Source organism: Homo sapiens, chromosome 3 (genome assembly GCF_000001405.40).
Source record: "Homo sapiens chromosome 3, GRCh38.p14 Primary Assembly".
NCBI classification, from domain to species: Eukaryota; Metazoa; Chordata; class Mammalia; order Primates; family Hominidae; genus Homo; species Homo sapiens.
The window spans coordinates 156,168,071-156,183,023 of NC_000003.12; the positions used below are offsets into that span (position 1 = coordinate 156,168,071).

At 41.9% G+C, this 14,953-nt stretch overlaps 1 protein-coding gene and 1 pseudogene across 5 annotated transcripts in view, besides 1 other annotated feature; one reads left to right on the forward strand and one right to left on the reverse strand.

Annotated features, from left to right (window-relative positions):
* Positions 1 to 14,953, forward strand: part of KCNAB1 (potassium voltage-gated channel subfamily A regulatory beta subunit 1) — a 420,928-nt gene that overhangs the window by 49,860 nt on the left and 356,115 nt on the right. The window lies entirely within an intron of this gene.
* On the reverse strand, positions 7,111 to 8,853 carry SNRNP40P1 (SNRNP40 pseudogene 1; annotated as a pseudogene).
* Positions 9,363 to 9,565: a silencer, noted in NCBI's record as "fragment chr3:155895222-155895424 (GRCh37/hg19 assembly coordinates)". NCBI's record gives its function as "represses an EF-1alpha promoter that drives an FKBP-Casp9 reporter gene in an ReSE screen in K562 erythroleukemia cells {active_cell/tissue: K562}" and the evidence as "EXISTENCE:reporter gene assay evidence [ECO:0000049][PMID:32094911]".

Genomic DNA, 14,953 nt, shown 5'->3' on the forward strand with positions numbered 1-14,953 from the left:
TGCACACCTGTAGTCCCAGCTACTTAGGAGACTGAGGTGGGAGGATAGCATGGACCCGGGATGCAGAGGTTACAGTGAGCTGAGATCATGCCACTGCACTCCAGCCTGGGTAAGAGAGTGAGATTCTGTCCCACCCCCAACCGCCCCCCAAAAAAGTAAGTCCTGAATGTGTAAAAACCATGTTCTCTATTAGCTATACAGCATATAAGTATCTATCAAACCGAAGATACTATCAATTGTATGGTACACCAGTAATTTGTGTACTGTTAAGAAAGAAACACACTGCCTATTATCATTTAAAGAGACAACAATAAGAATACGGTTTTAAAATTTAAAAAATTTAAAAGGCTGTAGGAAGCATTCCAGTTTAGAAATGTGAAAATATAAAAAATATATCTTAGAGTCTCTAATACATGGTGATTATTATTTTATTCATCTAAATATTTTTCACAGAGTCTTGCACAGTACCTACCATATCTATTAAAAATCTGTGTATTCATTCAACAAGTGAATATAAATTTGATGCTTATTATATGTTAAGCAATACAACATGGATACATCAAAATGTACTGAATAATGGAATTTTTGAAGTATATTTGCTTTTTGTAACATCAACGTGCACATGAAGCTAGTGATGCTGTTGAGAAATCAGCTCAAGAAAACAGCGAGATGTTTTCTTTTTAGGACAGCAGAATTACCAAAAACTTGATCTCTAATGTAGACATTTGCTCCAAAGAAATTTGTACTGAAAAATGGAAGGCAGATAAACAAAAGTTCTTAGATCAGTTTCTTAGTCATCCAGGGACTTCTGTTACTTCTTTCACATTTCTGTAAAAATCTTGTTGAAAGAATCACTTCTTGCCTCCATGACTCTGATGAAGATGTTCTTTCAGCTGTAATTTCTTTTCCAGTAGAAATAAGGCGAGGGATGATTTTCTATGAACACTGATGCTATATCATATGAAATATTTTTATATGATTTATTATTGTAATTTACTGTTAAATTGATTTTTTTACACTTAAGAAATCTTCGTATTATCCACTTGTATCTAATAGTATCCTAAGACATAAATAAGTTCCCAAAAGCAACATTTTTAAAGGAATATTTCCCTGATAAGCTCTCCCTCACAGTTAGAATCTTGAGTGCAACAAATGACGAATAAAGCTCATTTAGTCTCAATATCTTTATCTACGGGGGTTATTATGCTGAAGACCTTAGGAAAATGGCAAAATAATGAGTTGAAATGCTTGAGCTCAATCTATATAATGGAAACCATATGCAATGTTATGTGGTGATTTTAAGCCTAATTATATTCAACAGTGATGTTTGGACCCTCCTCAGGAAGGAACGGGCAAGAAATTTAGTCAGGAATGACTGAGAGAACAGTTTTTGTTCTTGTTCTCTTTGGATTTCCCTTCTTGAGCCGTTCTTGCCTTATGGGCTCTCTGGGTATTTCTATTTGGTCTTCAACATGGTTTGGCTCTTTGTCCCCACCCATATCTCATGTGGAATTGTAGTCCCCACATGTTGAAGGTGGAGCGTGATGGGAGGTGATTGGATCATAGGAGTGGTTTCTAATGGTCAGCACCGTCCCTCTAGTGCTGTCTCGTGATAGAGTCCTCATGGGATCGGACAGTTTGAAAGTATGTGGTGCTTCCCCCACTTGCGCTCTTTCTCTCCTGCTCTGCCATGATAAGATGTGCTTGCTTTCCCTTCGCCTTCGGCCATGATTGTAGGTTTCCTGCAGCCTCCCCAGCCATGCAGAACTGTGAGTCAATTAAACCTCATTTTTAAATAAATTACCCAATTTCAGGTAGTTCTTCATAGCAGTGTGAAAATGGACTAATACAGTCTTCTTTCAGTTTCTGTTCAAAGTTCATTTTCAGTACAGTGCCCTGATCAATCATATTCCCAAAGAGGCCCTTTTTCCCTCTACTGCCCAAGGCTACTCATCTTGAGACTGGCTTTTCTCTGGGCTCAGAAGGCTTCCCAGCTTCCTGTTTCTCTTGGGGCCAAGCACATTGTGTTTTCTGACCAGCTGAATCTCTTCTCCAAATTGGGATGAAGAGAGGAATTAGGATCAATTGAACAATTGGTTCCTATGGGGCCTGTGGGGCCAATCGTCATGGGTTTCCCTTCCCAAGGAATCGTTTTTTTTTTTTTTTTCCTAAGTGCAACATTTCCCTGAAAATGTGGCTTTACCTATTCTTATGGTTTTATGAAGTCATAGAGAAAGCAGCAACTGCAGTTATTGGCATTCCGGCTACTACTGTGGTTGATACCTACAATTTCTGTTGCAAAGTATGCTTGTCCAAGAATACTTAGAACTACATCCAATACAGCTTGGAGGTACAGGTCATTACTTGCAAATTGCCAAGTCCTGTTTAAGCCACAAAATGAAGTGTCATCCTGGCCGTGCTCCAGAAAGGGCAAATATGGGTTTTGGTGTGATAGATACTACCCATCAATCAGCTATTTGTTGTTTGGAAATTGCTGGTGACAATTGGATCCAAACTTTGCCACCTGTTTTGCAGTGCATGGTTCAGCCTGGTTCTACCATTCCCTACAATTCATGGGTTACATATAATAATATTCAGCCTCTCCTTGGTTTCCAACATGCTCCAGTTAGCCATAATGCTCCCAACTTCTGTCTCATGTCATTACTTGGCATGCACACCCCAAACATTGAGTCCTATTGGAACAAATGTAAAGCAAAGTGCAAGACCACAAGAGGAGTTTGTCATGATATGTTGGACTCATATTTGGCCAAATTTATGTGGTGTGATTGATTTGGAAATGTTTTCAATTCCCTTTTGCTGCACATAGCAGAACAATTTCCTGTTAACTAATATGATGTTTTGACTCTTGGTTTTAGTATGTTTTGGTATAAATATCCAAAGACAAATTTTTCAGTTGAATACATCTGAGAAACAAATTGTTCAATTGACCCAGGAATTACGTACACTGCTTTTTGGCGGTGAGTGGGCTTTTACCCAATTATGTATGTCTACCTTTGTTTGAGCTACACAAGGATAAGAATTTATAGTTGATTAAATATGTTGCCTAAGACCATTTCTGTCAACTCTGAGCACCGGCTTATAGTTAGAAACTTCACGCACACATACACACACACACACACACACACACACACACACTGAAATCAGTTCCCATTTATATCATTTTAACCTGTGTCACCCCTTGCAGGAACATCCATTGTAAGAGTAAGAATAGTCTATATTGGTTTCTCTCTTCTATAAATGTCATTGAATAATTGCTTTCCTGAAGAATCCTAATCCATATGACTACATTTTAAACACAAATTTCTCCCCAGTGGTCCTTTGGCAATGGAGAAATTAGCATGAAATATAAAGCAGAGTGCTTGAAAGAATTTCCTTGAGGGAAATTGGGATAGCAGGAGGGAAAGAGATTTATACTTTTCATTTAGTGGCAATATGTACTTTATCCAATTTTATATCATTAGGACCATTAAAAGGCAGGAATGTGAAATATGTCTTCTCTGAAGACAGTTCTTCATATTTATATAACATTTTCTGCTTTAAGAAGCCAATTGCAAGAAAGAGTCCAATGCGAATGTACTGTGCTGTTCAAAGTGTTTATTTCAAGGGCTCTTCATTTCCCCTACGCCCTCCAGAGAGTTAAAACGCTACATGGCCTCTAATCTCTAAGTACATAACCAACTCTCTTCTCTGGACAGTCAGTTTCTGAAAATTTCTTTTGAAATCAGTGACAAAAATGCCTAGCCTATTGGTGGATTCCATTTTGTAAGCTTATTTTTACAAATCACAGACTTCTCTAGTATCTTTGTAATTATTTAATCTGACCAAGTGATTTCTGGGAGTAAAATATATTTGAGGCTGTGTATATCAGCCAAGGGTGTTCTTTAATGAGAAATCTTATCACACACACCTTCTAAATGCATTTCAACTGCACACAGGACTGGGTTTTATATTTCTTGGCATTATGCCAAGAAAAATCTCTAGGAACAAGGTGAGCGTTTGATGCCCAGTGGATTCACACATAAACTTGTCAATTTTCTTCGTATCTGTATTCATCAGAAGTTGTTATTAAACCACATACTATGAGCAAACACACTCTAAGTCCCTCTGGTGGGGGATGTGTGACAGACAGAGGGACAGCAGAGTTTCATAACAGAATTTTGAAGCCTTGCCTTTCTGCATAATTCAAATGGCTTTTTTTTTTTTTTGGAGACAGAGTCTTGCTTTGTTGCCCAGGCTGGAATGCCATGGTGCAATCTGAGCTCACTGCAACCTCTGCCTCTCAGGCTCAAGCAATTCTCGTGCCTCAGCCTCCTGAGTAGCGGGGACTACAGGCATTCACCACCACACCCAGCTAATTTTTGTACTTTTTTTGGAGACAGGGTTTCGCCATGTTGGCCAGGCTGGTCTCAAACTCCTGACCTTAAGCAATCCACCCTCCTCGGCCTTCCAAAATGCTGGGATTACAGGCGCGAGCCACCACATGCGGCTATCAAACGGCATTTTAAAAAAGGGAATGAGGATGGTGACATGATTGGTTACTTATTCCCAGGTCAGTGGTTAGTGGCAAGTGGCCACTGAGAGTAGATAGGGGCCTTTCTAGATAATTGGAGGTAGTCAGCATGAAGTCACAGAGTAGACAAGACAAGGGGATAAAACCGTAGGCTAAAGGACTGAGATAGGTCCTGGAAAGTCCCAGGGGAATATTGCAGGCAGAGAATACTCTCTGAGCTGGGTTTTGCTAGCCATGGAGAGAGCCCAGGGCATCTAATGCCTTTTAAGCTAGAGCAGTTCCAATCTACCCATGTGGCCCCACACAACTTTGCTAACACCTCTGGATGTAAAGGTCCTTCTGTCATCTGGCAGTTTCTTTCAGAAGCTAGTGTGGGTATTACATTCACTTGTGGACCTTAAACATTTTGCTTCTAGGGAAAGACATGTAAGGCTCATTGAAAGCATCTGGCAAGTGTTTAGAAAAGGCTTCTCCTCTGGAGAGAAAGAAAAGCCTGGAAGAAGATCTGAATGTCGGATGCCTCAAGTCACTGCGGTCAACAGGCAGTGTTGCTGTCTAAGAGGGGCAGGGACCCTGGTCACAAGGCCCTGACACAAAATTGGGTAGAAATTGACTCAGCACTTTTCTTCTTAAGAAGCTCAGCCCTGATTTCACTCTCAGGGCAACAGAACCATTATCAAGATGGCCAGTGAGTTAACCAGGGTGTTTCCGAGATGAGGGAGTGAGGGTGTAATAAGACAATGGGAAGAAGAGGGTCTAAAAAAACACACAAAAAATCACCATCTGTAAGTGAAACTCTTCCTAGTTTTAACTACTTAGTTATAAATGTTAAACACACTGGAAATGGGTTATGAATCATCCAGGTAATAAGAGCAATTACTGTCCAGTGGTCAGTAGGAAAGAAAATAGCATAGTTCATCTGGGTTTTACTTCCAGGTCTATCCAATTGTCAGTGGGAGTCTCAGTCAAGCCCCTTAACCTCTCTGGGGACCTCAGTTTCCCCATCTTTAAATGACAGCATTTATTCTAAGTTCTTATCCAGTATTATTAACACTCTATGTAACAAAAAAATGCAACAAATTGTATGCGATGGTTAATTTTATATGTCAACTTGACAGGGCCACAGGGTGCCCAGATGTTTGTTTCAATGTTATTTCTGGGTGTGTCTGTAAGGGTGTTTCCAATGAGATCAGCATTTGTACCAGAGGACTGTGTGAAGCAGATTGCCCTTCCTGATGTGAGTGGCCATCATCCAATCAGTTGAGGACCTGAATAGAACAAAAGATGGAGGAAGGCAGAATTCACTCTCTTTGCCCAATTGATTCAATTGATTGAGCTGGGACGTTGGCCTTCTGCCCTCAGACAGTGACATATACCATTGGCTCTCCTGGTCCTCAGGCCTTCAGACTCGTACTGGAACAACACCACCAACTTTCCTGAGTCTCCAGCTTGCAGACTACCGATTATGGGACTTTTAAGCCTCTATAATCATATGAACAAATTCCTTGTAATGATCTCTTTATGTTTACCTCCTATTAGTTCTGGTTCTCTAGAGAACTCTAATACATTCTACATTTGGGGACAAAGATATTGCTCAAGGCTAGCCTTCTTATCTCCAGTTTTACTCAAAATAATTTTAGGAATTAAATACTTGGTATTTTCTCTCTTTGTTCCCTTCAAGCAATAATTAATTTTTAGTGGTTTGTTCTTGGGTAGGAATTAGAAACATTATGTAGCTGACAGAGGGCTACATGCAGAGCTTATAAGGAGGAGCTGCTTTCTGCAGCCAGTTTCTTGATGAGAATTCAGCAGGAGGAGCTCTTTAGCTGTGTGAACATCCATCAGAAGGGTAGGTAGTTAGCAGGATCTACAGTATTCAGCAAAATAAAATTCTCCCAGCAGAGAATGCCATGCTTCTTTACTCATTAAGGAATGGGTGAGCCCTTCCCTGACACCCTGACTGTTCCAGCCTGTAGTCAAAGTATCAATGGGAAATCAGGGACCCACATACCTACCAAGTCCTTTTTTAGGTCTTTTCTTTAAAGCTGGTTAGTTATCCCATACATCAGTGTGCCCGAGGTCGAGAAGAGCTGGAGGGGCTGATATTTAGCCAATGTGGTCGCTTCCACAGGCCCTCTTATTCTCATAGCAGCTCAGCCTCCCATCAGGAGGCATGGAGCCACCAACGCAGGGGTCTAAAAAGGTACCAGGAAGACTGGGCTTGGGCTGCCAATGAGGGTGCATCTGCCAGTGAGCTTTCACTTTTAGAAGATATGGCAGCTTCTAGCTAACTTTACCAGATGCTAGTTGTTGAACTCTTCCTCAAGTCTACAAGTGGAATTCTTCAGGGAAACATGGTGTTTCTCTGGCTGCCACAATATTTATTTATTTACCTACTCAACTATTTGGTGGAGAACCTCACAGGGCTTAGAGTGGTCTCAGCCAAATTGTCAGCTCATGAGGCTTCTGATCTGTTGCAGTGAGTTTGGATTTTTACCCCTCTGGACTGTCATCAACAGAAAACAGAGGTGCTTTGGGTTTGTTTGCTTTTTATTTTTTAAGGCTTTTAATACAAATGTTTTTAATACAAAATCACTTAGAGAAATACAGAAAGAAAATATCCTACAAGCCAGTTACTAAATAAAAAAAAAATCCCAACCAGCAAATTTGTCACATTGGGCAGGCATTAGAAAACAGGAAAAAAGAAAAAGAAAAAATAAAATACAACGTCCCTGAAGGCCGGGCACGGTGGCTCATGCCTGTAATCCCAGCACTTTGGGAGGCCGAGGCGGGTGGATCACAAGGTCAGGAGATCGAGACCATCCTGGCTAACACAGTGAAACCCTGTCTCTACTGAAAATACAAAAAATTAGCCGAGTGTGCTGGCAGGTGCCTGTAGTCCCAGCTACTCGGAGGCTGAGGCAGGAGAATGGCGTGAACCCGGGAGGCGGAGCTTGCAGTGAGCCGAGATGCGCCACTGCACTCCAGCCTGGGTGATAGAGCGAGACTCTGTCTCAAAAAACAAAACAAAACAGTTCCTGAAATCAGGCAGGTGGATTTTAGAGGCCACGGGGAGCTTGCCTTAGTCATCCTGGTGAAATGGGATAGCAGTGGTTTTTGGAATATGGCCACCACCTCCTCTGTTTCTTGCCAGTAATCGTCATCTGAAGGGAGGGTGCTAGCCTGGGCAATAAATATTTGACGTCACTTATGCAGTCTGAGGTCTCAAAGACAAGTAGCCTTGGAGTCTTCCATTCCATATCCCAACAGTCTCTTGTCACTCGATGCTGAGATAATGAAGGGCTAGTCAGGGTGGAAAGCAACTTCATTGATGGAGCCAGCATGGCCGGGCAGCTCATACAGTATTCTCCTGCTTGTGGTATCCCACACATACACAAACCTGTCGGCTGTGCCAGGTGCTATTTTGCTTCCATCAGGTGACCAAGAACATCTTAGAAGGTTCTTTTCAAAGTTGTGCACATTTCCTTGAACTATGTTTACACACCTCTCTTTGGGGGCAAATGGCCAGACATCCCAGACACGAACTGTATTGTCCATTGCATTGGACAAGAGATAAGAACCTTCAGAACTTAAGGTCAGGCCAGTCACTGAATCTGCATGGCCTGTCATGGTGTAGGTTAGTTTGTTCTGGCACAGGTCCCAGACCTTGATATCATTGTCTATTCCACCAGAAATAATCTGATCACTTGTGTCATTGAAGGTCACAGCTAACACCTGGTACATGTTCTGAAATGTTTAGATGGCTGCTTTCTTCCAGAGTCCCAAAGCTTAACTGTGCCATCGTCACTGCTAGTGCAAACAAGGTGGCTAGATAACAGGAATTCACAAAGGAAGTATGTCCCTTTAGCGTTTTAACCCTCTTGCCCGTTTCACTATCCCACACAGCCACAGTTTTATCTGTGGATGCTGGGAAGAGCATACTGCCATCTGTGTTGTAATGCAGTTCCATCACTGCTCCACTGTGTTCCTTCAGTATGGCAGAATTATCACAGTCACCATAGACATTCCACAACAATATCAGTCGGTCAAATCCTGCAGATGCTAAGGTGGATCGGTTGGGGGTGGAACTTGCAGCAGTATACTTCCCCTTCATGTCCAGAGAGCAGCATGATTGGGGCTTGAAGGGAGGAACACCTCGGAGGTCCTGCTTGCAGCAAAGCTCCTGGCGTCGCCTGCTGCTGCCCGGCTCCAGGGCCCGATCCCGCCACTCCCAACAGCAACTCATGCCGCTGCCGCTTGACTGGGACCAGCGGTAACTCTGGGCCTGTACGCTTCTGCTGTTCTATCATGGCGGCAACCGGATGATGCTTTGGGTTTTTGAGGCCCACCTGCCTCCATTTTTGTGCCACTTCCTCCGTGGAGCTCTCCCATCCCTCAGTGCATAGGGTCCCTGTAGTGCCTCTGTCCCTTCCCCATCCTTCAAATCTGCTTGCAGCTACTCCACAGCTTTTTGAAGGCAATATGATGATGTCAACTTTATTGTATGTGATAATGACTTCTGTTGTTTCTCCAGGGACATCTGCATTTGAATAGTACGAAATCCGTTAACTCACAAAGCAATTTCAGGCAAAAGTTTGGGAGGAAACTGGGGAGTTCTTATAGAGTGGGGCTCATACCACATCTCCCCAATCACGTTATGTGGGGTTCTAACCCTCAGTCACACATGGCCAATCCTGCTCACTATACCCAGACACTTCTTATAATTGCCTGGGAAATAACTAATGCAAATTTGAATTTATGGTATTTTTATTTCTTTATTTCTTTATTTATTTGAGAGGGAGTCTCTCTCTGTCGCCGAGGCTGGAGTGCAGCGGCGCAATCTCGGCTCACAGCAAGCTCCGCCTTCCAGGTTCACACCATTCTCCTGCCTCATACTCCGGAGTAGCTGGGACTACAAGCGCCCGCCACCCCGCCTGGCTAATTTTTTTGTATTTTTAGTAGAGACGGGGTTTCACCGTGTTAGCCAGGATGGTCTCGATCTCCTGACCTCGTGATCCGCCCGCCTTGGCCTCCCAAAGTGCTGGGATTACATGCGTGAGCCACTGCGCCCGGCCGTTTTTAATTTTTTTGAGAATTTGTCAAAAGCCGTGGATCCTCATCTCATTTAAATGTACACAGGCATGCATATCTTCTTTTGCGACAGAGTCTCGCCCTGTCGCCCAGGCTGGAGTGCAATGGCATGATCTTGGCTCACTGCCACCTCCGCCTGCCGGGTTCAAACGATTCTCCTTCAGCCTCCCGAGTAGCTGGGATTATAGGCGCCCGCCATCATGCTCAGCTAATTTTTGTATTTTTAGTAGAGACGGGGTTTCACCATGTTGGTCAGGGTGGTCTCAAACTCCTGACTTCGTGATCCACCCGCCTTGGCCTCCCAAAGCGCTGGGATTACAGGTGTGAGCCACCGCACCCCGCCCATATCCAAATTTTACATACAATTTTAGGAAGGGTCACCAGACTTCCTAGAGCTCATCTTGGGATCCCAGGGTTAAAGAAAGTTTGGTATTTGAAGTAAGGAGACCTGGATTCGAGTTTCCACTGTGATTTTAGGCAAGCTTTCCGTGTTCCTGTGAACCTGCTTTCTTGCCTGTAAAAGGAAAACCATAGACTCTATCAGTGGGTTTCAACTAGATATAAAACTTTAGGAGAATATTGACCCTCACAGTCATTTAGAAACTGGGGTTGAGAACTATCAGGCAAGGAGACCTCTACAATGACCTCTGGCTCCAGCATTCTTTGATTCTGAGGTTTTACTCCAGAAATCTCCACAAAGTTGAGAAGACACTCCTTCTACCCCTAGTGGGGAAAAGAGAAGATGTAGCACGACAGAGATGCCCAGAAGCCTGACTTCACTTTTCTTTCCACTCTGCTCCATTGTTTCATGGAAGAAAATTGAAGAAAGGGAGCAGAGCCCTTCTAGAGTTAATTCTCTTTGCATTAAGAGTCTATTGGATTGGGGAAGGATTTATCTATTCAACCTTGAAAGGATAGAGAATCTAATTTATCTTTATTTTTTGAGAACCTACTTGGCATATGGTAGGTACAGAATGAATGCGTTTTTTTACTTAATAAAATTGTTTCTCAAGATTTATTATTTTTTGGCCGGGCGCGGTGGCTCACGCCTGTAATCCTAGCACTTTGGGAGGCCGAGACGGGCGGATCACGAGGTCAGGAGATCGAGACCATCTTGGCTAACACGGTGAAACCCCGTTTCTACTAAAAATACAAAAAATTAGCCGGGCGTGTTGGCGGGAGCCTGTAGTCCCAGCTACTTGGGAGGCTGAGGCAGGAGAATGGCATGAACCTGGGAGGCGGAGCTTGCAGTGAGCCGAGATCGCGCCACTGCACTCCAACCTGGGAGACACAGCGAGACTCCGTCTCAAAAAAAAAAAAAAAAAAAAAAAAAAATTGATTATTTTTTAACTAAGTAATTGTAATGAGCATGTGCTTCTCCACTCCAGTGATTCTTTGAGAATCACCAATATAATATTATATAAGGTTTATTTTTCCTGAAGTCATTGAAATAGATATGAATTTATTGATGAATTGAAATTCAAGGAATATTTACTAAGCTTTTATTATGTGCTTGACACAGTTGAATTTTCAAAATAGTAAAGATTTAAGAAAAGGGTTTATAGTTCCATGCTAATACTATATATATATGTAAGTACTACTTCTGAAAAATATTATAGTCCATTTATACCTTTCCTTTCCATTCCATTCCAGAAGGGGGGATATAAAATTTTATAAAATTAAAAACAATTTAAAAATATTCTTTATTATTCCCTGGTTTGGAACCCCCCCCCCCACCCCCTCACCCCCTGCGTTCTTCCCCCGCGTTCTTCTGGCTAATTGCTCGTTATTTCACGTGGAAGGACCCAGCCACATACATGTGTTTTGGGGTGGGGAAGCAGCCCATTTTGGACTCCCTCAGAAGGCACCTGTCATGGAGCTGAACTAGCTTCACTAACAGCTTTATCTTCCTGTCTACCTTTGCATGAAATGACTCTGTAAAAGTTCTGGCTGCATGCAATGAGGGGTAACCCCAGGCACCAAAGGCAGCAATAGAATGGACCGAAAGTGATGAGACTACATATTGCTCTGTCAATGCTGTTGCTCAAAACTGTTTTCACTCAGGAAAAGATTGAATTGCTTCAAATACTGAACTTCTCCCTTAGAAAATGTACAATTGACTGAGTATGAGGAAAAAACCACTTTTCTTTCTTGACCATAGTTATGTTTTTAACGTAAATCATCCTAGTGTAAGTAATAATATTAATAAATATGATTTATTGTATATTATCTATGTGGTAGGCTCTGTATTAGTCACTTTAATGCTGACATTGTATCGCTTAACATATATTGAACATTTACTGTTTCAGATACCCAAGTAATTCTCTCAGCAGGCTTATTAGCTTGGTACTATTATTGCCATCATCCTCCTTCTATAATTGAAGAAATGAAGGCTTAGAAGGATTAAATAAGTTGTCAGAGGTCACTCAGCCTATAAATGGTCAAAAGCTGGGATTCCAATCCAGCTTCTCTAATCTTATTTGTAATTCAATCCTCATGCCAATCCTATAAAGTAGTTATGGACATTTCCATTTTACAGATAAGGAAGCAGACTTGGAGAGGTGAAATAATCTGATAATGGTTACATAGGAAGTAAATGGTGGAGCCAAGCATGGAACCAGATTAGTCTGACTCATAAACCAATGTTTGTTTAATTGTGCCATACTGACTAGTTGTGGATTTAAAGAATGTTACCATGTAAAAAGGGAGTTACTTAGCTATTTAAACTTTTAAAAGACTAGACATTTATTTTGGTTTGCCTAACAACTTTCTTTTCTTGGATATTCAGTATCAGGAAAATGCCTGGTACCTGGAGAATACCAAAAACAAAAAAAATTATGACATGTTTATTACTGCTTACAATGATCCATTTTCTACTTTTTTTTTACAGTAATATTTAAGTGAATTATTCTGCAATAAATTTTTTTAATACAATCCAATAACTGCTTTTTGAATACCTACCACATGCAAGGCTCTGAGTTAGATGCAATGATGATGATAGAGATGAGTAAAACATCATCTGTCCTGAAGAACGAGGCGGGATTCATGCCTCACCCAGGAGAGTAGATAGGCAAATAAGCTAAGCAGAGTGTCATGCAGGTCTCAGGGAGGGAGAACAGAAATGTCACATGAAGAAGGTGGAAACAGAGATTGGCCTTGAAGATGTACATTAGTTTGTTTGGGTTGCCACAGCAAAGTACCACAGACTAGGTGACTGAGGAACAGAAATTTATTTTCTCATAGCCCTGGACAGTGGAAGTCTGAGATCAAGGTATGGGCAGGGTAGGGTTCTCCTGAGGCCTCTCTCCTTGGCTTACAGAGAGCTGCCTTCTGGTTGTGTCCTCATATGGCCATCCTTTACTCTGTGTCTGTATTGTAACCTCCTTTTCTTCAAAGGACACCAGCTATCTTAGATTAGAGCACACCCTAATGATCTCATTTTAATTTAATTACCTCTTTAAAGGTCCTATTTCCAAATACAAGCACATTCTGACATACTGAGGATTAGGCCTTCAACATATGGGTTTTGAGAGGAACAAAATCCAGCCCATGACAGATGGGTAAACTATCAAGAGAGGGGAAGTCTAGCAGACGAAACAACACGAGACAGAGGTTAGAAGGGAGCAGCGTGAAATGCATTTGGGGGAGAAATTAAGTAACCCAACATGATGGAAAAAATAATGGCATTTATGAGAGTCCCGAGTGCCAGGGTGAGGAGTTGATGCTTACACTGGTGGGCACTGGAGTGATTTGAAATTCTCTAGCAGTGGAGTAATTTGATAAAGCTCTCCTTGGGGACTGTCAATCAAACAATGATGTGTTGGATTGGCTGGAAAGAATACAGAGAGAAGGTAAGGATGCCCTCTAGGAGGCTTATCTGGGAGTCCAGTCACGAGGAGATGAGGATGTGAATGAGCAGGCCAGTAATGGTGGTAGGTACATGAACACAGTGAATCAGAGGGACTCCATCTTTGAATGACTCCATGGAGGCTTACCTCAATGAACCTGGTGACTAGTTGGCTGTGTGTGGGGAGAAATGGAAGGAGGAGTTAAAAAAGGCTCTAAGGCTTGATGAGTCAGTGGATGGTTTCATCATTATCTGAAAGAGGAAAGGCAGTGAGGTGGGGTAGGGGGAGTAAAGACGTTGAACTCAATTTAGGACATGTCAAGCTTGATGTTCAATAGACAGGAATTTGAAAAGGTGGGTCTAGAATATGGGAGTGACATTGGAGTATATAAAAGATTATTAAGTTATATGAAAAGTTTTACCAGGAAAGAAACTGGAGAGTTATTCATGAAAATGTTAAACTAATTGTATTTGGGAGGCAGACTGCAGTTTATTTGTATTCCTTCTTTTTAGTATTATTCAAAATGTTTATCATGAGCAACTTTAATAACTTTATAATTATATTAGTGTGAGGTATCCATGTTTCTTAAGTCCCTATATAAGATGGGTTTAAAATCCCTGTTCCCTCACTCATCATAAGTCTAATACCTTCTGCAAGATATCTGAGAATTTAGGAGCCTCTCACCCAATTAGTTTGTGGATTGTCTAAAACTCACAGGCCCTGCTCCTATTTTGTATCTCATTTATGCAGATATTGAATCAGAATTTTGCTTATTTTATGAAGAAGAGATCATAAAAAGGCTCATGAAAATCCTTGGCTAATACTAGAATTTATTAAAATTCAGGAGAGATTGTGGGGCTTTACATGCATATGTGCAAATAACCTAACATTGACCTAGGGACATCCTTCTTAAAGAGTCCCTCAGCCATTTCTACCAACTCAGCCTAAGTTTATGCCACTCATCTCTACTTTTCCTCAGGTGGACACTTCTTCTTCACCCTTATTTTCCAATTTCCTTCCATTTTCTTAAGAAAATCAATTTAGCCTTCTTTATATTCTACTCCTTCTTTCCAGGGTTGGTTTTTTTTTCCCCCCCCCGGGTCTTATCTTTTCTACCCAAATGTCCCAACAAGGTATCTTCCTAAAGTAAGACAATTTTTTTTTTTTTTTTTTATTTTGCGGAGTCTCTCTCTGTTGCCCGGGGTTGGAGTGCACTGGTGCCATCTCGGCTCAAGGCAACCTCTGCCTCCCAGGTTCAAGTGATTAGCTTGCCTCAGCCTCCCGAGTAGCTGGGATTACAGGCGCCCGCCACTATGCCCAGCTAATATTTTGTATTTTTATTAGAGACCGGGTTTCACCATGTTGGCCAGGCTGGTCTTGAACTCCTGACCTCATGATTCGCCTGCCTCAGCCTCCCAAAGTGCTGGGATTACAGGAGAGAGCCACTGCGCCCAGCCGACAGTTTCATTCTTAAGAAGAATTT